Source organism: Homo sapiens, chromosome 9, assembly GCF_000001405.40.
Source record: "Homo sapiens chromosome 9, GRCh38.p14 Primary Assembly".
In the NCBI taxonomy this organism is placed as follows: domain Eukaryota; kingdom Metazoa; phylum Chordata; class Mammalia; order Primates; family Hominidae; genus Homo; species Homo sapiens.
Window position 1 is genome coordinate 4032277 of NC_000009.12, and position 22843 is coordinate 4055119.

Genomic DNA, 22843 nt, shown 5'->3' on the forward strand with positions numbered 1-22843 from the left:
TCATTCCTTCCCAAGTTTCTTAGAATTGGCTCTAAAATCTGCATTCCAGCTAGGAACTTTGGTCCTTAGCAGCGTAATCACCAAGAACCAACTTTCACAGAAGTCTATAAAAATTACAAAATGCAAAAGCATATCATCTCACTTTCTTCTGCATAGAATGCTTTTTTTTCAAAATTTTATATTTTTATATATTTTTAAAAATCTTATTTTTAAAAGAAGTTGTCAGCTGACAAATATATTTAGAGATGGCAGAATGGCTCATAAAACAAACTGAAGGCGTAGAGCTATATATCATGTAGCAGCCTAACAAATTTGAGTATTTCTAATGTGCAACAAGGAAAACATACGCAACGTGTCAAGTGACAAAGGAATAAAGCACTTCACTCAAGTTAGACATGCTTCAACATTTTCCAGCCCGGGGCAAGTATATGGAAGCCCATATACCCTATGCCATGAGGTTTCTGCTTACCACATCCAACTTCTGTCACCAGGATGCCCCTGCCCCCACTGCCAATAGCATTCTCCTTTTAAGTTCTTCAAGGAACCTGAGGCTGGAATGCCAAGTGGAATTGAGAATTCTTTTTTTTTTTTTCCTGAGACAGAGTCTCGCTCTGTCGCCCAGGCTGGAGTGCGGTGGCGCAATCTCGGCTCACTGCAAGCTCCGCCTCCCGGGTTCACACCATTCTGCTGCCTCAGCCTCCCGAGTAGCTGGGACTACAGGCGCCCGCCACCACGCCTGGCTAATTTTTTTGTTTTTTAGTAGAGACGGGGTTTCACCGGGTTAGCCAGGATGGTCTTGATCTCTTGACCTTGTGATCCACCTGCCTCAGTCTCCCAAAGTGCTGGGATTACAGGTGTGAGCCACCACACCTGGCTGGAATTGAGAATTCTTGAACTTCTCAGAGTTCTGCACCAGAATGGCACAGTGCTGGAAGAGCTTCCCACACCTGACTTGACCCTTTCTCTTTCCACCCTAAAATCTATCTTATAGCATAAAGGGTATTTCTCCCTCACCCAAAACAGCTGTCCCTTGGTCACCCCTTAAGGCTGCAGCGCACCCACTTCAGGAAGATGGAACTAAAGAAAAAGCCAGAGAAGACCCCAGAAGAAGGCTCCAGGCCATTTGGGTAGAGAATTTTAAGGCCCCAAATATCCACAGCAAGGTCTAGAAGGAGGAAGCACAGGCTTTAAGTAGGTACACCTTCCTGGACGTGCAGACTCCCTATCCCATGGGGAAAAGAGAAGATGGAGAAGGGCCAGAATAGGGCCCTTCAAAGCTACGCTCCTTAAAGTGTTTTCCAAATAGGAGCATGGACTTCCCCTTGGGAGCTTGCTAGAAATGGAGAATCCTAGGCTCCACCCTGGACCTATTCAATCAAAATCTCTAGGTGATTCCTATGCACATTCAAGTTCAAGGGCAGGTACTAAAACAGGGACCTATTTTGTCCAAATCAAAGGGCGATGCTGTATACAGAGACTACTAACTCCTTAAATGAATGCCAGCTATTTAAGATGAACTAAAATCCCTTTCATGCACATGGCAACACAAGGATTTGTTTAATTGCCCCCAAAAACATAGGCGAAGGATAAAAAAAAAAAAAAAAAAAAAAAAAACTAGAATGAGATAGGTCCTATCTGCATTTCTGGGTTCAGATTAAGCCATAAAGTTTTAAAAAACTGTAATACTATAATTCTAGCACTTTGGGAGGCTGAGGCAGGAGGATTCCTTGAGCCTAGGAATTCAATAACAGCCTAGGCAACATTGTGAGACCCCATTTCTATTAAAAAAAAAAAGTTAAAAAATTGGCTGGGCATGGTGGTGCATGTCTGCAGTCCCAGTTATTCAGGAGTCTAATGTAAGAGGATTGCTTGAGCCCAGGAGGTCAAGTCTCAGTGATCACACCACTTGTGCTCCAACCTGGGCAACACAGTAGCACCTTGTCTCAAAAAAAAGTCGTAACAGATCCCCAGAAACTTTATTAATTCTATCAAGGCATAATACCAACAGAAAACAAGTTAGAAACAGAAAAAAAAGTCTGTTTCTATAATCAAAAGCAGGATTCCATAACCTAATTATTATATTTTCAATTAAACCAGAGCTCCTGGTATGTTTTCCCCCTTGTTTCTTGAATTAGCAGAGACCTGTAAGCATGTTCAGAGCAGGGATATGTTAATTAAGGAGAGAATTTCCCAGTAAGAAGCTCAGCCCACAACACCTGATAATTAGGAATGTTATAACAATTCACTGACCCTTCAGGGATCCTTTGGTCGTGTTGGCTGTCCTCGGGGATTCACAGAAAGCGGTATCACAATTTTTCCCAGTTGTCACTTCTGCTGCTGCTTTTGCAGACTGCCACATTTACAAGTCTTCAAGAAATTGTTTGGGGAGCCACATGACACCGGGATCACAGGAACTCTCTTTTTTGACAGTATCTGCCTTTCTGCCCTCAGGAGCCCTTTAACCTCAACCTGAGCACTTCTTGGGGGAAGAGTTCAACAGCACAATTCCTCACACCCCAGAGTATGGAATCTTGCCTTCAGAACCTGAATGTCACTTGGTGTCTTAGAATGACCTTCTTCTTCAGAGGGTGAGTGGTGAGGGGGACCAAAACACAAATGTGTGTGTGGCAGGGGGGATCTTCGTTACTTCATATTCTCTTGTAGTAGCAGGAGGGTGCCTGACTTCACCACACTGCTATGTGTACTATTATTGCTAAGCGAGCCAGGACACGGAGTTTCTGAATATGTTTGCTTCTGATAGAAGAACTGCAGATGAGACAATAAAGCAGAAACTTGAAAAGAAGCAGCAACACTAGTCTAAAAGTACTAGGAGTAGAAATAATCTCAACAAGACCACTTACTACAGCTGTACAGAGTGCTAAGCAGTTTCCAAATGTGCACGTTTTCATTTCATCTTCACTATAACCTTTTATGGCAAATGTTATCTCCATTTTACAGGTGAAAGCATTAAGACTTGGATTACTTGTTAGAAGATCCTACAGATAGTGAGCCATGATTCAAAACCAGGTCTAGTTAACTAAAGTAAAAGCTCCTGACCAGTGTATTATACTGTAGCAAAAACAGAAGGCTCCAGAAGGTCCAACTGGATCCCTGCATGTTTGACAACCCCAGAATATCCCAAAGCTACCTCTCACCTATCTCGTATTCCACCTTCTATCTCTCTCCTACTTAAATTTCCACATCTGGCCACATTCTTTAACTTTAGCTCCCATGGATTCTCCATTTTCTGCTTTCCCTTCCCCCTGCCAGTGGCCTAGTTGAGGCTCTAGTCACTTCTCTTCTCTGTTACTGCAGCAGTGCCCTAACTCATCTCCTCCATGTAACTCTTGTTTCTGTTATACATCTCCACCTGGTGCCAGAATAAGCTTCCCAAAGCACGGGTCAGGGATGGCCCCTCCTCAGAAACTATCCAACTTCCTAGAAGGCACAGACTCATACTAACCCTCCTTCCTGTCTTGCCTTCCACCACATCGGTCTTCCTGTACTTGACCCAAACGATTGTATCCCTGCCCCACTCAAATGCAAGCCCACGACACTGACCATTGCTCCTTCATCTCCTGGGACTGGAATGCTCCCGTCTTCACTCTTGCAGTCAAAATCTATCCATTTACTCAAGGCTCACTCAGGTGGAACCTCCTGCTGCCTGCCCACATCCCTCTGTCACAATGAATCCTTCTTTCCTACATGCTCCTATACCAGATGACTTGGCCTTGAGCCGCCTGGAGTTTACTCTGTAGGTTTCAGTTTGCCTGATTCCTTGCTAGGCTGAAAGATTCAAGGTCATCTTTAAGACCTCAGTGCTTTTCACAGGGAATTACCATCTGAAAAAAGCCCCAAGTGAGGATTTTCCTTTACCGTTTGAAGACTTTTTTAACTCCTCACCAGCAACAAAAATTCTGGGATGCACTGCGTTTTACATTTTGTTTTTGTTGTTTGTTTTATTTTTTCTGGCTAAGAACACAGAAATCAAATCTCTTTTTTTTTTCTCTCAGGCCTTGCCCTACTCTAATTTCAATCCTCTCTAATCTTTATTTTCTACTTTATACTTGTAGTTTTACTATTCTCTGCTCCCCTTAATTTCTGTAGAACAAGATAGGATATAAATAAACAGATGTATAAATAAAGAGTGGGTTTTTGAAAAATGATTGACAACTTGAATTGAAAGCAAGACTCCTGTTGTGAAAGAAGTAGAGAACTCAGCCCAAATTGGTAACGGTTTCTATCAGTAGCCAAAATGGGAGGATATAAGACTCAAACCAGAAAACAGTTTTCTCCCTGAGACTCCAAGAGTGCTAGAGGAAAAACAGAGAGGCTACTGTGAAGACCTGCAGCCTTAAGCCCTGAGACTCACCTACTAAATAGGTGCCCAGCAAACGGCGCATTACCTGAGAATTTTTTCCTTGAACTTTGACTCCCAAATTAATTCCCACCATAGTGATTACTAGTTGTTCATAGAACAGAGGTGTGAGAAGAACTGTGGGTGATATACCAGGAGGAACTTCAGGAAAGCCGTTTGGAGGACTCATTCTTGATGCCAAAATCCCTCCCTACTCCTTGCGTTTGAGTATCAACTGCTGATCTCCAGGAGAAATAAAGACCAGTAGAGGGGCTAAAAATAAAAGGGGCAGACCGCAGTGGATTCTTAGTCCTATCGAAGTTACTACCCCACTGCAGCTATGGCAGAAAGAGAGCCAGAGCTGAAGACAGGGGTGTCCATGTTCTAACCTTTGCTGTATAATTTACTAGGGAAGGAGATTTGAAAAAAATCACCCCACTCTCTGAGCACCAGTTTTCCCCATCTGAAAATGGGAATAGCTTTACCTTCCTTACTGAATACTTTGAAGATTAAATGAAATGACATGTGAACTTGCTTTATAAACTCTTCACAGACAAAGCTGTTAATTTCATTTCGAGAAAGATTTCTTGAGAGAGGCATCGTAGCACAGGAGCCTAGCACGGATACCTAAACTAAAGCTTAGGACTTGCATTCTAATTCTGTCACTTCCTAGCTTTGTGACCACAGGCAAATTACTAACCCCTCCGTGCCTCAGTTTTCTCATCTGTAAAATAGGATGGTAAAAGTGTCGATCTGATAGGTTATCAGGAGATTAAATTAGCTACATTTTTACCTGAGCAAGGATTGGCATATAATAAATGTTATACACATGTTTTATAAATACATCAGTTGAGAATACCCCACAAGCCAAGTTCCATGCTGAGTGCTGCAGTGGGCAGATGTGTGTGCACACAACACACACACACACACACACACACACACACACACACAGAGACAATAAATCCTGGGGGAACTTTCACAGGCTCAGGCATTATTTTAATCTATGATCTAAGCACTAGGAGATAAATTTCTCAGAAACAGAAAAATAGGTAATAACCTTGCCAACAGACTCGGAGTCACCATTCTCTTGAATTTCAAACCTCAGATTGTCATCGTGCCCTTATGGTCACTTAATTAATTTGCAGTATCTCTCCAAGAGTTGCTTATGAAATGTTCAAGTCTTTTTTTAAATACACCATTTTATTTAATGAACTATTATTATGACAGCTGTGGAGAAATTTCACTTTGGTGTTTTCCTGGGAATATTTTATACACACTTTTCAGCTGCCCACATTCAGGGGAGATACAAAATCCAGGAAAGGAAAAAAAAAATCACTTCATTGGATAAAATGTTTTACAAGATAGCCCATCTGTCTTTGTGAGTTCAGAGTGTTTTTGTTTTTATTTATTTAAGTGGAACTTTAATGAGGGAGAAGAACATCTTTCCCCTCTTCCTGTTCACCTGGCTTGGAGGAAGCAACCTGGTAAAACTTCAATGAGGCCCAAGTAAATTTTGTCACTCTTGGATTAATTTATTTGTAATTAATCAAGAGTTTTATTTGGGGATGATTAGCAGCCAGCCATATTCCAGTTTCGACATCCTAAAAATATTATCCCATGATTAACTACTTCTTTTGAAGTGTGGTAGGAAACTTGTCCAACTTGTTGGTTCCAAAAATCCTCTCTGTTGACACAGAGGGAAACCTCTAATTACATGAGTCACTGTAGTTTTACAACTGAATAAACTGTTAAAGAAATTGGAAAAATTGTCATCAAGATGATAAAGGCCATTCTGGAACTCAATGCCAAATAGTCCCAGCTTGTACCTTTCAGAGAAATGACCACTTGTAAAGAGACTGACGTATGGGAGATCAAAGGTGAAATCCAATACACTTTCCCAGGCCTCAACAGGCCACTTTATCCTGATTAAAAGGAAAAGGAATTTCCCAGGCATGTCTCTTTAACGTTTTTATCCTGAAAGCAGGCATGAGAATACATTCTGCAAACCACTGTGCTAGCATGTTATAAAAGATGATGACTGGCCCTTTGGTAAGTGACATAGTTTGGCCACACGTATTCAGCTCTCCACTATTCTTTTTTTCATTGTTTTCTTCAAAGTTTACATCTGTACAGCTTCCTTAATCCTGATTTCTTAAATGTGTGGATCCAGCCTTTAAATGCATTCAACACTGTGCATTCAAGTATCCCTGTCTGTAGAAACATCATGAAGATGACAGACTGGGCTCCGCATAACTCTGATCACCTTTGCCCCCAGTGACCTCCAAGGCAGTCTAATTTCCCCAACTGAGGAACTAACTGCCCTCCCCATGTCTTCTCTCACTATGAACCGTTGGGTAAAGCTGAGCAGCTTGCCACAACAATAGGAATCATCCGTCTCTTACAAACTTGAGGAGGGAGAATAAAAAAGGAAAACCAATGTAATAAGCCTGGGCACCATACGTTGCTATAATCCTGCCCTTTGGGAACACTTTAAGGACTCTTTTCACACCTAGGGTGGTTCCACACTCTACCCATTTCATATGGAATTTAATAGGGCACCTGGTTATTCTCTGGAGAGGGTCCTACATATTTATTCATAAAGGTATTTCTGCATATATTATGTAATTGGTGCCGAGGACCAAAATTTGAAGACTTGACTGAAAAAAAATTATTTTTCCCAGCTGTCCAATGCAGTATTATCTAGCCACTGAATAGCAAAATAGAGAAGCCACCAAACATTTTCTACAGGTATCCAAGCATCTCTCTCTCTCTCTTCCAGACAATGTATTTCCTGTGAGCTATGTGGAAAGAGGCCTGTGCTTCTTGGAAACAAGCTGCTCTGATGGGTCTCCAGCCCACAAAATACAAAACTTCACAAACACAGGACGGCAGCCTCAAAAAGGAGCTTACAGACCACCTCATCTAACTCCCTCAATTTTCTAGGCCATAAAAATACAGGCCAGGTAAGAGAAGTGACTCGTCCAAGGAAACACCACTATTTAGTGCCAAAGCCTGACCCAGAGCCTGCCTGGCTCCCAGCCAGTGCTCTTTCCCACTGTATTTTCTAAGATCTATGTGTTTTCCTCTACAATCGGTCCAGATTCTGTTAGGGTCATAGAAATGTCTGGGAGATGTTGAGTGTTTTTCAATGACTACTACAGTATAATGTCACAATGGTCAAGTACTACAGGAGTTAGAGCACTCAAGTTAGAAGCAGATGGAGCAAAAGTATCATTTTAGAATTTAAGTGCACAGTATAAATTGGAGGATCGACAAGGCCAATGGGTCAATGCCAAGCCCAAGGCCAGTGCATCACAAATGTGGAGGCCAAAACTGTTTGGGAAGATTTGAGTCTTAAGAGGAGAGCCAAGAGAAGTCCTACTTCAGTGGATTCCAAACAGAGGGTAACTGAGACCTCCTGTTTAATGAAATTACATCCTCTGCCCATCTGCAGGAAAGCCCCCTACACAGTCCTGGTACTTAACTGGCCAAATATTTACCCATTAATACCTTTATTTATGGAGGGGTGGTGATTTTAATAAAAATATAAATGGGGACATGTAAATCACAGCCTTGGTCTTCAAAGGGTTTTGCAAACTTCAAAGCATTTTAAATAATATGTCTGAATTACAAAACATTTTACTTCACAAGGTAAAAAAAACAAAAAACAAAAAACCTGCTACATTGAATATATAGTCCCCTAGTTACAAAGGTTTTCTGTCAAAAATTATTAATTCATTGTTTGAAAATGGCTGTTAGGTTTTTAAATTAACTCCCAAAGTCTCTTTCAATAACAAACTATTACAGCGTGCTACATTTACGATAGAAAAGGAAGACATCCCCGCTGATAGTATATCACAAATAAGGACAATCTGAACAACAAAACCAGATTTTAGGTCTTTTCCTAAAATCTTTAATGCAAGCAAGTGAAGAAAAATATTCAATCAATAAGGATATAGAAGGAATGGAAAAAATCTGAACGGGAACTCCCAGCACTTTGGAGAACTATTAATGTGGACGATAAAGACAGAGTTTCTTCAGTGGAACTAAGTGGATAGTGAGTTATAAAAGATGGAGAAAAGGAGAAAACACTATAAAAAGATGAAAAGAGGTGATGGAATGAGGTGTTCAGTAGATCGTTCTACCACAGTCTTCAAGTGGTGCTGTCAACTGGGTCAACTGGGTCATTGTTCTTTAGGTAAGAGTTGAAGTGAAGGTCATCAACAGTGGTTCTCAAAGGTGGTCTCCTGGTCCAGCAGCATCAGCACTGCTTGGAAACTTGTTTGAAATACAAAACATCAGGACCCACTCCAGACCCAGGGAAGGAGAAAGATTTCTTTCTCAACATTCTAATCCTGTCCCACCTCGTGATTCTAATGCATGCTAAACTTTGAAAGTGAAGGATAGTTATGTGGAGTGAGTACCATCAAGAAGGTGTTCATTACACAGGACATCTGCAAGGCAGGCATTTTGGCCATGTCCAGTAGTGACTGTACTTCTTTAAAACACTGTTTCTCAAATATGACTGCACATGGGAATCCCTGGGAAGCTTATTAAAAGCCCCGGGGGATGTCTAGCAATGACTGGAGATATCTTTGGTTGTTAAAACAAGGGGGTGGGAGTGGAAGTTTGCTACCGGCCTCTATTTCCCTCTACCAACTAGGGATAAGGGAAACTGCCAAACATCCTACAGTGCACAGAACAGCCTCTGCTGAAACGAACTATCTTGCCCCCAGTGTCATTAATGCTGCTTTTGAGAAGCCTTGCTTTAGGCAAATCAACTATCTCAATCTGTTTTAGTTTTTGCACCTTAGACTTGGTGGAAAAAAGCTTGGGTCAACTTCATGGGCACCACCATTGAGACTCAATTCTGCCTTACCAGAGCTCCATTTTTAGTGTGTGTGTGTCTCTGTGATGTTATCAGGTGCCTACTTAATTGTTCATAAAACGGTGCTTCGTTTCCTAATCAGTATGGTTCTTGTTTGCCTATGCTCTGTGAGACAAAGTAACAAATGTAAGATGGCATGTTTTATTTCTGTTCTCTGGAATCTAACGTCACAAAGTCCCTGACTCTCTGAAAACGTGAAGCTCTCCAGAAAGATGTTCTGAAGATAAAACCAGGTAGAACACCCAACCCCACTTCATGTCTCTTGCTTGAGTCACTATTTCCTTAAAAGATAAATGACCCTAGTCCTTGCCTTTTTCTGCACATAAGACAATATCTGACAGTCTTAGTGATTATGCTTCTGTAACCTATATCCAGGTGTACTCTTATGCCCAAACCTTGATATGACTCTGCTTTAGTGTAATTCTGGACAAGTTTGATGTGATTTTGCATGTCCTGAACCTCCACCACCTGTATATACGCAGTGAGCTGAAACTGTGCTGACAGAACCTCTCAAGAGAGCAACTCTCAAGCTACAGGCCTCATCTACAGTCCTCAATAAGATTTCTGAATAGAACGCACGTTAATCATTTCAAAAGCTTGGGTTTTTGTTTTTTTTTTCTTTAGTCAACAATCTCTTGGTCAGGAGCTTCCTGAAGGAAGGAAGGATGAGTGGAGAGATTTGGGTACCAAAATTTCACTCTGACACCCTAGTAATTCCCATGGCCAGCCTTGATTCTTCATTTGCAAGTATCCAAGATGTAAACATTATCAAGCCCAAGGGTCAGCAGAATAGAGAAGTGAAATGGGAACAGTGTTAACTGTCAGCCAAACATAGACTAAACCTAAGCTATCTTCATTAAAATGGATATTCTGAGAGCTGCTTCCGGTTAACCCATGAGTACATAAAGCATGCCAACTGCTGCTGGGAATCATCTGTTCCAAAGAGGCCAACACTTACTCGTCTGTTTTTATTTTGCGTAAAGAATGAGTAGAGCATAAAACCCCTCACCATCTAGTGCCTGTTTTACCCCAAATCTTCTACATCCACTGTTCCGAAGATTTCCACACTGATTCTGAGCAATTTATGTAAGCCCAGGTGTTCAAAGTTCCAGGTTGAAACATTTGGTTAATTAACATCATGCTGCAAACACTCAAAATCACTTCAGCTGCCACTATAACAAAACAAAACTCCCAAAAACAAAAACTGTAGGGAAATATAAACAAATGGCAGTATTCTTTGGAAAACAATATATGATTTTAGTGACAATAAAAGCAGCAAGGGCTTTCTTGATTTAATACTGTGTTTCTCAAAAACATTTTTCTAAAGGAAATTATATTGAGTTTGAGTAAAAACTTGAAAGTACACATTATTATGAGCAGAATGCAGCTATGTGCCAGGACGCCAAGTCATTAGAGCTTGCTTGAAAAGAAAAAAAAAAAAAAAGGTACAGTGAAAAAGAGCGCAAACCCCAAGAGTGGCAATCTTGGAAATATCAAAAGAAATGGCTATTCTTCTACTAAGAACCCAAAATGGTTTTTCTCCCCCGGAGCCACAATGCTCTCAGCTGTGGTTCTCTGCATTCACAGCTTCCCAGCCCCTCCCCTTCCCACAGCCCCACTCAAGGTCCCAATTTAACTCCTGCATTTTAATCCCTTTAAGCATCCATTTGTTCCTTTCCTCCCAATCACTTTCAGTGAGACTTTACGTCTTTGGCAAGGGGCCAGAGGTGGTTCTGTCAGAATTAATTTTTTTTTCAAGTATGAAGTGTAGAGTGTTGAGCAAGAAATCCAGTTTTCTTAGTTTTGAGGTGGGAGATCAGGGTGAGGTACACTGAGTTTTTTATGTATTTTCTAAGAATTAAGGCAGGTGGGGTGAGGGTGGGGAGCAGTTCTGATTGAGCTGTGGTAGGATTCCCAGGAGATAATCAGGTACGGCTGGTTTGGGGTGACTGGCAGGCTGAAGGCTCCATCAGTCAGTCTGTAGGAAGGGCTGGGAAGGGGCCTTTAAATCATATCCTAAAGAAGGAGAAGGTCAGCACCATGAGTTTTGTCTCAATGACTCAGTTATTGGAGGGCTGGGGAGGTGGTTTTGAGCACACTATTCTACTGCTGAGTTTGCTCCCAGGAAAACCTTCTTCTCTACAAGTCCCAACAGCCATGGACATGTGAATAAGCCTGAAAAACTAACAGAAAGATCTGTTTTCACACCATCTTTGAGCTACTGGGAACTGACCCAGTACCTCTTTAGAATAATGTGACTGAGTAACACAAAAGAGAGAAGAGTAATTATTTCCTATGAAGACAAGAACAGGATGCAGCTTCAGAGTTCACTTGTAGTTCTGGAGAACACAATGCAAGTCTTGGGTTGGGGGCTCCCAGATATATCAGCTGCAAGAGCAGCAGAACCTGACACCTGCAGCACTGGCCAGCACCCACAGCCGGCTGTTGTCACCAACAATGGAAGGCAATATGATGGGCCTTGTCAAGAGCACAGGTAAGGGCCAAGAGGGCAGAGCAGGCAAACATCACCAATAGGGTCCGGCACAGAAGAGAAAACTGGCAGACACCTTCAGTGTCCCAGAGAAGCTGAGCAACCTTCTGAGGATGCCCATCAGAAAGGACATGGGGAGGGAGTCTGTTCAACAGGAGAATGAAGTTCTTACAACAAAAGAAAGATCAAAGTCTTCGGAACAGTGTGTGGCTCTTAACTCTACCTGTGAAACCAGACACTCTCCATCCCCTAGTGCCAAGTTCGACTAAATAGACATAAAGCATTTATGCATATGATTATACAGATCTGTACGAAGACTGTAGGAGATATTAAGTAATCTCCCAACGCCCCTTAGCACGTCAACATTTGTTTTCCTGATTGTTCCTTTCCCTTAGGAAAATTAACACATAGTCTCTCTCTGGTCTCTCATAGTCTCTCATTTCTCTTTAATTTTCTGTTCCTGCTACTCCACGCCTGGTCCTATTCCTATTTTTCAGTGAAAATTATTCACAGAGAAGGAATCCAATGGGTCCATCTTATCCTATGTGGGAAAGAGCTTTTTGCTGGCCAGCACATGGAGTGACTGTCTTTGGGTCAGGTGCACATTGCAGTCTGGGTTGGGTACAGTAGACCTGGTGGTCTACAAGGTGAACCACTACCTCAGAAAGAGGTCATGGGCATGACTGAGGGTGACTGCTCACAGTACTGTCACAGAGTTAGAGACACTAGCATGCTTTCTCATATTTCTTTGAAAAGAAAAGCAAAAACCTGGGACTAACACAGACTCTTCACTTTCTTTTTATCTTTGGGCAGATCCATTCCTAAATTTTTCCAGACACCATCTTGAAAGTCCCCCAGGATAATAGAATGAGTAAGAAACAGACTACAGAATGCAGTGGGTGAGGAAAAACTTTTGATTAAGCCAAAAGCAAGGGCAGATGTAAATTCCGAGGAAGGGAGGACTCAGAAAGCTGTTTGGTAGTGCAGGCATAAAAAACAAGGCAGAGAACAGAGCAGAGTCTGTTTTTAGCATAGGACTAGGGTGGAAGTCACTCAACTGCAGCCAACAGCAGTGGCCAGACAACCTAGCACCTAGAGTTGCCTTAGATCTTTGAATTCCAAGTCCTGACATTTACTGATTCAATTTTGTGTTTCCAAGTTGCCATTTTGGCCATATTGATATTGCATCCTTATCGTAAGCCCTATTACTTGAAGACGGTCCCCTTGCAAATGAAGGAAACTGATGTACACACTGGACCTTGTGGATTTCACGTAACTAAAAAGCTGCAGGAAGATGAAGTGTTCTGAACTTTTTGCTATAAAAATGAAAAAATTTTTTTTGAGCCGGAATCTCGCTCTATCACCCAGGCTGGAGTGCAGTGGTGCGATCTCGGCTCACTGCATCCTCCACCTCCCAGGTTCAAGCAATTCTCCTTCCTCAGCCTCCCGAGTAGCTGGGATTAGAGGCACACACCACCACACCTGGCTAATTTTTTTTTTTTTTTAAGGTAGAGATGGGTTTCACCATGTTGGCCAGGCTGGTCTCGAACTCCTGACCTCGTGATCCTCCCACCTCAGCCTCCCAAAGTGCTGACATTACAGATGTGAGCCACCCCACCCAGCTGAACTTTTCTTTTGTACATGCAATGTAACAACTTGGAAAAAGAAGAAGTCCTGGCCCCAACAGCAGATGCCTGGAAAGAATCAGACAAGAGGCTGAAGGTGAAATTAAACACAGTCTCGCAATCACAGCTCTAGATATTATGAGTCCTTGCAACAGAGATCACTAATGTTCCGCCCCGTCAGATATCTTTGAGTACTCTTGGAAAATGAAAGATGTGCCAAAAGTTGGAGGACTGGCAAATGTCATTCATACTTTTAAACTGAAGAAGAAAGATTCTAAAAATTATATAGAGGTCGGTCACCTTGGGAGATCGGGGGGGAAATCATAAATGGTTTATTAGGCTGCTCATGACAAGACAGAACAAAAAGTGCAACTGCCAGGAGGCAGCAAATTTTAATTTCACTCAGAATTGGCCACATCAGCCTAAGCTCATTTTTCCCTTCATTTATATTGCTGTACCAAAATATGGACTTCAACAATGTATTTTATAAGGTCTCTTATGGCAGTCTTATAAATTATAGAGGGGGGTGTAAAACTTGTTATAAACTGTTTTCAAAGTTGATACTCACCTTAAGAGAGGATTCTAGTAGCTTACCACAGGGCTCTATTCTTGACCTGCCCAGTTGAACATTTTCATCATGCACCTATGTGAAGACAGTAAAGGCAACCCTACCAAATCTTCACAGGCACAGTGCTGAGAAAAACAGTAAAGACCCTGAATGGTACAGTATGGATCCAAAGAGAGGGTTGGCAGGCATGAGAGGTGGGTTAGATCTAGCAGGATATAACACTTTGGGGCCCAAATAAACAACCCTATAAGGAGGGGCTGAGAGATACATGACTTAAGCAGCAGCACACAGAAATGCTCTGTGTTCATCAACAGAAAACTGAACATGGGTCAAAGGTGGGGCCAGCAATCAATGAAGCTAATACGATAAGTTGTACTTAATGTGCATGTGATTTTTAGAATTAGGTAGGTAATAAATCTTTTCTACTCTGTGCCATACTTGAAGTATTATCTTCACTTCTAGCGTTGCATTTTTTGAGGGAAGTACATTCACTGGAATATATTTAGAGTTCCTCTACCAGGATAATGCAGGAACTCTAAATTGTATTATATGAAGAATGGCTGAATGAACTAGGCATGTTTACTTGGCAAGTATGGGTTGAGAGACATGGCAATTCTTCTTCAAATAAATGAAAACTGAAGAGAGGCAATACTTCATCTAGGTATTGCCAGAGGACACAATTAGGGATGAAAGCTGTAAAGGATATTTTACCTCAATGTGAAAACAGTTTAAGCCCTGGCAGATGCTCAAAGTCTCAACAAACACTAATGGGAAAGTTGTCGGAGTGTAGACTTCAAAATGGGTTGCTGAGTTGGTGATATTGTTTGGCTCTATGTCCCCACCAAAATATCACCTGGAACTGTAATCCCCATGAGTTGAGGGAGAAACCTGCTGGAAGGTGACTGGATCATGGGGGCTGTTTCCCCCATGCTGTTCTTGTGTTAGTGAGTGAGTTCTCATGAGAGCTGATGGTTTCACAAGGGGCTCTTCCCCCTTCGCTCTGTCTCTCGCCTGCCACCAGCTAAGACGTGACTACTTTCCCTTCTGTCATGATTGTAAGTTTCCTGAGGCCACCCCAGTCATGCAGAACGTGAGTCAATTAAACCTCTTTCCTTTATAAATTACCCAGTCTCAGGTAGTATCTTGATAGTAGTGTGAAAACGGACTAATACAATTGGGTAATCTTTTAAGGTCCTTTTAAATCTTAAGAATCTTTATTTTTATATTACTTTTTTAGACCCATATTCTAATTCTGTTCATTTCACTAATTTCAAAAACCTGTTACTGCTCTGAATTACAAACAAACTTAAATCCACACCTTGTGACCTACCCTTTCTGGTTCACTTACTTTGCATTTTAGCTTCACAAATAATAAAGTACCTATTATGCTGGGAGCTAGAGATGCATAAGTGACTTACACATGGTTCCTGACCTGAAGAAGCTCACAATCTAGGGAAAGAAAAAACTGTAATATAACGATGTCAGTATGAAAAGAGGTGGGAGTCGGCTCAGTGTGCTACCCCATGCCAGCACAGAAAAGGGAACCCTAGTTGATTCAGGAATGTTCTGGGAAAGACATGAACCTGGGTGTTATGGCTCCAAAGCCAACATTCCTGACCTCTCTGTCTGCTTTTTCGGTTACATAGGAAAATAATTGCAATTAGTGTAGGCAAGGCCAGTAAACTTTTGTGAGATGAACTCTGTTGGGACAGCAGAAATCTACTTCACCAGCTGGTAGGCCTAAGGAGGTCTTTGTTCTCTGGTTCTTACTTTTCCAACAATCTCTGGGTAAGAAGTGTGGGCAAGACTCAGGGCTTAGGCAGTGGGGAAAGGGGCCTCACTGTGTTCTCCAATTGAACCCATGATTGGAGAGCCCTAAATAAAACTGGCATTTTGCCCCCATTTACTGCAGTTCTGTGTGTTCACACTGAATTTATCCGACCCCTGAAGAAGAGTGAGGGGTAATGACCTTTTAGAAAATTTTATTATGTAGGGCTGGCTATAGTTAAACATAATGCAACATTTAAATGAAACCAAGGAAAGTAAATGGTATTTTTAAATTCAGAATGATATGTGTGAGGATCAAGAAAACATGTTTAGCAGAAGATGGAAGGGCAAAAAGCTGTTAGATGGTTCACACACTGTAAGGGATCCTGCTGGAAACTTATTACCCTGTGGATCTTTTTAAACAGTCCACCTTAAATGCTGATATTATATGGGGCTATCATATAGCCATGCCATGGCTCAGTATGTGCATAATATAAGCCATTCTCATAAATAGAAAAAAAAAGTAGCTAGCACGGTCAGAAACAGCTGGCTTAACCACATTATGGTATTCAACTGTGTGCTTATTTTTAAATTGCGTCAAATTGCTCTGAAGCCAATGACCTAATGAAGACAGAAGCATCTCTTCAAAGAGAGCACAAAAGCATCTTTTAAGACCATGATCAATAGGTGGCAGCATCTCTTCCAGCACTGAAGTCCTCTCTGTGGGGCTCAGATGAAGCAAATTTTCTCAGTAATTTCACCCCTCTCAAGGGCTGTCTTTCCAGCCACCCATCAGGTGACTAGGCCTAGCCTATGCACCTGTTAGGATTCCTGCACAAATATCTGACCAACAACTTAGTTACTTCCAACATTTGAGCGCTTTTCTAGAAACAGGCAATGTAGACCTCCTAACAACCATCTCTGGAATGCCAGTGACCCTACTGCATGCTTTCACTTTGAAATAGTCACCAACACGTGGCAGGACAGGAAATTATTTGGGGATCCAACCAAGTCAGCAGACCTCAATCTGGACTGAACACCATGGACATACAGAGAGGGCTAAGAACAAATGGTGAGGTTCTAACCAAATAGCAGTTCAGACACACACCAATGATGTCTGAGCAAACTATCACACAAACACACAATGCAAGAAAGAAAACACACATCTAATAACAACAACAGCTGCACCTGGATAGGAACTACTCCAGAAGTCTAGGATACAGAGAGATTTCCAGAGCTTCAGCCAGTGTACTGCTTGTCAAAATACTCAAATACAACCATACTGGTTGGTAAATAACCTCTGCCTTGATACCTAAGATCCCCCTGCTACTGGCCTGGCCATCTGGACTACTTCTGCAGGGCCCCTTCCTCACCTCCCTACAACGTGATTGTTAAAGGATAAAAGCCTAGCATGAAATGGGCCATCAAGGACCTTGCTCCATTAGTTGATGCCCATTCCAATTGGTCAGTGCCAATGCCAGGCTGGCTGTTAAAGGCTGCAACTACTGCCAATGCCCACAGCCCACAGATGCCGGCAGGAGTGTCGTGTACTGAGCTATTCGTAGTCTGATTCTTTCCTTCATTCTCTTTCATACATATATCCCCACCTCCAACACACTTGCGCACACATAGGAATAAGCTTCCTGCATAAGAATCTTCGGAGGAATGACCATCAGAGTGAACAGGCAACCTACAGAATGGGAGAACATTTTTGCAATCTACCCATCTGACAAAGGACTAATATCCAGAATCTACAAAGAACTCAAACAAATTTACAAGAAAAAAACAAACAACCCCATCAAAAAGTGGGCAAAGGATATGAACAGACACTTCTCGAAAGAAGACATTTATGCAGCCAACAGACACATGAAAAAATGCTCATCATCACTGGCCATCAGAGAAATGCAAATCAAAACCACAATGAGATACCATCTCACACCAGTTAGAATGGTGATCATTAAAAAGTCAGAAAACAACAGGTGCTGGAGAGGATGTGGAGAAATAGGAACACTTTTACACTGTTGGTGGGACTGTAAACTAGTTCAACCCATGTGGAAGACAGTGTGGCAATTCCTCAGGGATCTAGAACTAGAAATACCATTTGACCCAGCCATCCCATTACTGGGTATATAACCAAAGGTTTATAAATCATGCCGCTATAAAGACACATGCACACGTATGTTTATTGCGGCCTATTCACCATAGCAAAGACTTGGAACCAACCCAAATATCCAGCAATGATAGACTGGATTAAGAAAATGTGGCACATATACCCCATGGAATACTATGCAGCCACAGAAAAGGGTGAGTTCATGTCCTTTGCAGGGACATGGATGAAGCTGGAAACCATTATTCTCAGTAAACTATCGCAAGGACAGAAAACCAAACACCGCATGTTCTCACTCACAGGTGGGAATTGAACAATGAGAACACTTGTACACAGGGCGGGGAACATCACACACCAGGGCCTGTTGGTGGGTGGGGGTCTGGGGGAGGGATAGCGTTAGGTGAAATACCTAATGTACATGACAATTTGATGGGTGCAGCAAGCCAACATGGCACATGTATACCCATGTATCAAACCTGCAGCTTGTGCACATGTACTCTAGAACTTAAAGTATAATAATAAAAATAAAAGTAATTTTAAAAAAATCTTCCGAGGAATGTTTGAAGAATGTGGAGTATATATCTCTGTACAGAACACGCTATGTCATGTTAGGGGCCTTTATTGTTTTTATACCTTTCCTGTGGGATTCTGATCTTTCAGTACTAACTTTTTAAAGCCTTCAAACACTAGAGTCCACTGAAAGTCACTGGCATCACTTTTACAAGACTGGTTAGGCTCTCACCCCTCCCCATCAGAGATGGGCCTCCACGTAAGAGGAGATAAAAAGTGTAAGCCTTCACACCTGCAGGTGAAATCCTAAACCTGATAGTCAGGGTCCTCACAGTTGGGGGAAGCTGAAGGTTTCACAATAAACTACAAAGATTTATTTTTCCTCCTGTTGGAGAACAATAAACTCCTTCTGAAGAATGTAGGATCCTAGGCAAATTAATTACTACTAAGGCACATGTTTCAGAGGACTGTCTGAAAGCATCCATTGATAAGCTCCCGTGAGGCCTAAAATTCTCCTTGTTCTCCCAGCCCCTAAAGAAACTGGGTCAAAATGGAAGCAGACAATGAGCCTCAAACAAACAGAGCAGACTAAGCCTCTCTTCTCTCACGTGTGTGTTTATGAGGAAATTCAAACATGGCTTAACAAGACATTCAATTGCTTATTTCGAATGTGGAATGTGGTAGAAAAGTATCTGAAGGAAAAAGAAAGGTGTGTGTGGCAGGGGCGGGGATAGGGGGTTGCCACTTACAAGTGGTTAGGTAGACAGAAGCTATCGGGAACATTCTGGACTGCTGGAGATTGCTATAGTCTCAACATTTTCTAAGACAGTCGGGTATAGAGCTTTGTATCTAAGCCTAAATGTATCAAAATCCATCCCTTGAAAAATGTAGCCAAACATATCTCCACCTCCTAATAACTATGTGGATCAGAGGAACTGAAAGAAAAAACAAAAAGCCCAAAGAGGCCTAACTAGTATTTTATTCATGTAATTCAAAGAAAGAACATGGTCATAAAGACTTGAGAAACTAAATGCATATTATTTGAAAACTGAGTTTTGTTTGTTTGTTTTTAAAAAAGAACATAGCAATAATTTTTACCAGAAGTTTGAAAACTCTTCAGATGTCATCAAACACTATTCTAGGCTGCAGTATTTTCACCAATTTCTCCCATATGTCAGATGGATGACACACCAAACTCCACTAACAAATAGGGCACAACTGCTGTGGCTAATATTTTAATGTTCAGTCAAAGGTGGGCTTTTTGCCATTTGTATTTATTTTAGGTGCTGGAACAGTGGAAGGTACTAACGTTTATAGATGATACATACATGTCGAATGTCTATGTATCATGCGTATATACAGGGGCTGAATCTGTCTCATTGCTCATTTGTAGAACACAATTACAGATTAGAGTGCATTGGGAGAGGCCCGGGTATAAAACACATCCTGTTCACTTCTAAATAATTTGGGGCTTAAAAGAATCAATGGAGAGATGTGCACACCTGAATATTTGCATACCTGTGTTTAGGTTCAGTTATATTTTGGTAAGTCCATGAAAGCCTTCTTTCAGAGGGAGTGGCCTAAATAAATACCAAATAAAACTTTCTCCCCATCCTCCTGAAATAAAGAACTAAGACAGATAGGTACATTTCGTTTTCAGGATATTTTTCAAGTATATATAAATGTTGCTTCATAAAGACTCGTGTCAAACATCACAATTGGTTTAATTTTTTTTTGTGGTAAAATTCATGTTAACATTTACCATTTTAGCCATTTAAAAGTACATACTTCATGATATTAAATGCATTCATAATGGTGTACAACTATCACCACCATCTAGTTCCAGAACATTTTCATTACCCTGAAAGAAAGCCCTATAGCCATTTAGCCACTCCTCATTCCCCACTCACACCCTGGCCCCTAGTCAACCACTAGTCGGATTTCTGTCTCTATAGATTTACCTCTTCTGGACATGTCGTAGAAACTGAATGATACAATATGTGGCCTTTTGTGCCTAGCTTTTTTCACTTAGTACAATGTTTTCAAGGTTCATCAATGTTGCAGCATGTATCAGAACTTTATTCTAAAATTTCACTATATGGATATACCACATTTTGTTTATCCATTCATCCACTGATGGACATTTGAGTTGTTTCCATCTTTTGCCTATTATGAGCAGTGCTACTAAAAACATTCATGTAAACGTTTTTGTTTAAATGTCTGTTTTTAATTATTTTAGGTATATATACCTAGGAGTAGAATTGCTGGGTCACATAGTAATTCTGTTTAACCTATGGAGGAACTGCCAAATGGTGTTCCACAGCAGTTACGCCATTTTTCATTCATGTTTAATTTAGTATTTTAATTTTTATTTTTTTGAAAGAGTCTCGCTGTGTTGCCCAGCCTGGAGTGCAGTAGCATGATCTCAGTTCACTGCAATCTCTGCCTCCTAAGTTCAAGCAATTCTCCTGCCTCAGCCTCCTGAGTAGCTGGGACCACAGGCGCACACCCCCACATCTGGCTAATTTTTGTATTTTTTGGTAGAGACAAGATTTTGCCATGTTGGCCCAGCTGGTCTCGAACTCTTGGCCTCCAGCAATCCACTTGCCTTGGCCTCCCAAAGGGCTATGATTACAGGCGTGAGCCACAGCGCCCAGCCTCATGTTTAATTTTATAACCGGTATTAACTAGCATGAGGGGCCATTGTGGGATCAAGCAATAGCTTCTCCTTATCATCCAGGCCCAGCTCACTGACCACCTCCTGAGACAGAACCTTTTGGTCAAGCAAGTTGCAAAGCTCCTCCTCCCACCCCAGGCACTTTGCTGACATCATTGTTTCAATCTCTTCACAGCACTTTCAGATTCCCCCAAATTATTTAATCATTCACTAGTTAATTGTCTACTTCTCTTCCTTTCTAGACTTAAACTCCACGAGGGCAGGACTGTTCCTGTCTTGTTCGACAGAATATCTCCTAAGCCTAAAACAGTCCCAGGCACATAGCAGGTCTTTCTCTAGTGGATAAATGTCTCAATGGTGCTCAAGGCTAAAAAAAAAAAAAAGAGCTACAAGACAGAGGAAGAGCCAGACTCAGTGCCTACTTGTTTTCTTTCTTCATAAAAAAAAAAAAAAAAAATTCTGGATAGCAACTAGCAGCAAAGCCACATGAAGAGAAAGGAATATGGCCCCAGAGGCCACCCAATTAGTGACACCATTGGCGAACTGTAGACTGCTGAGATTTCCAATGTTCTTCTAAAGCTCTGCCTTTCTTTATGTTGCACAGACCATCAAACACGGCAATCTGTTGTTTTTGTTCCTGAGGTAAAGACAGTTTGCTTCAGGCTTTGAGTTTTGTTCTGTTTTGTTTATCAAATAAAAGCCTCCAAGAATTTACTTCAAGGTCAAAACAAAAAGTCAAGTTACTCTTTGAATAGCTTCTTGCTATTTGAATGAGAAAGAAGAACAAATAAAAAATGTATGAGTTAAGCACAAAGCCTTCAAAAGGTCTAACTCCTTCGAAGATGAAGAGTTGAAGATGAAGACACAATAGCTTGGAGAGGTTAACCACCCACCCAAAGTCACAGGACTCTCTGGTGGCACAGCAGGAAGCCTGTCCACACTCACCAGCAGAACATCAGCTCTGTGAGGGCAGAGATCTCATCCTTCACGGTCACTGCTCTATTCTCAGCACAGACCAGAGCCTGCAAACAACGTACTCTACAGATGTTTCCACAACTCCACAAGACCTCCACCTTTCCAAGCTCTCAAAAGGCACAGAGCAATAAAACGTATTTTCCCAAGCTCAGAGGAACCATCTGAATTTAACGGTTGGTTACAAACACTTTGGCGAGAGTCACAGGAGGATGTGCTCTGGAGTGAATTCTTCAGTCAGGGCCTACGGGTTCTGCAGGTACAGAAATGGCAGTCTACAGAGAAGGAGGCAAACACAGATCTGATCAGTGCGGAGCAGGTCACAAGTCACACCAGTCACAAAGCTGCCTCCTTGACATTCAGAGCTTAAAGATCTAATTGTCATTCTTCCTGAAACTTGACCTAATTATTTCTCCTATAAAACTGTGCTGTTTCTCAACAAAAAAAAAGTAATAGCACATTGCTGTTGGTCAAACTAGAACATTTTGAATCCAGAGTGGATTTTTTTTTGTTATGTTTCATTTTATGGTCTCTCTCTGTGTGTGTATGTGTGTGTTCTTGAGCAAAACACTTGAGAAACTGTCAGTTTTCCACATTTTGCCCCTTGAGATGCTTTACCACATTGGGTTTTCAAGGCTCAGAAGATTCCATTTGTTAAAAGGAAGATATTGGTCCAAATAATGGTCTCCCAAGTCTTCCCACAGCAGCTACAAATGAGCCTTCCTGGGATTTAACAAGGATCTGGCTAACGTTGATATCTAGAGCTTTTAAAAAATCATGATTATGGTACTTGATTTTTAAAATTGTATTTTCCTCTTTTCCTTGTCCAGTGGGTAAGGGGAGAATGAAAGAAGGCAATGCCTTTTTCATCTTTCTCCTTT

At 41.5% G+C, this 22843-nt stretch overlaps 1 protein-coding gene across 13 annotated transcripts in view; it reads right to left on the reverse strand.

The window, feature by feature from the left end:
- Positions 1-22843, reverse strand: part of GLIS3 (GLIS family zinc finger 3) — a 666339-nt gene that overhangs the window by 208150 nt on the left and 435346 nt on the right. Inside the window, exon 5 of one of the 13 annotated variants that reach the window (XM_047422892.1) lies at positions 3940-22237. The exons of the other annotated variants lie outside the window; for them this stretch is intronic. Coding sequence (XP_047278848.1) covers positions 22196-22237 — 42 coding nt within the window. The 3' untranslated portion in view covers positions 3940-22195. Of the gene's footprint in view, positions 1-3939; positions 22238-22843 lie in introns of those variants that run through there. 13 annotated transcript variants of the gene reach the window in all.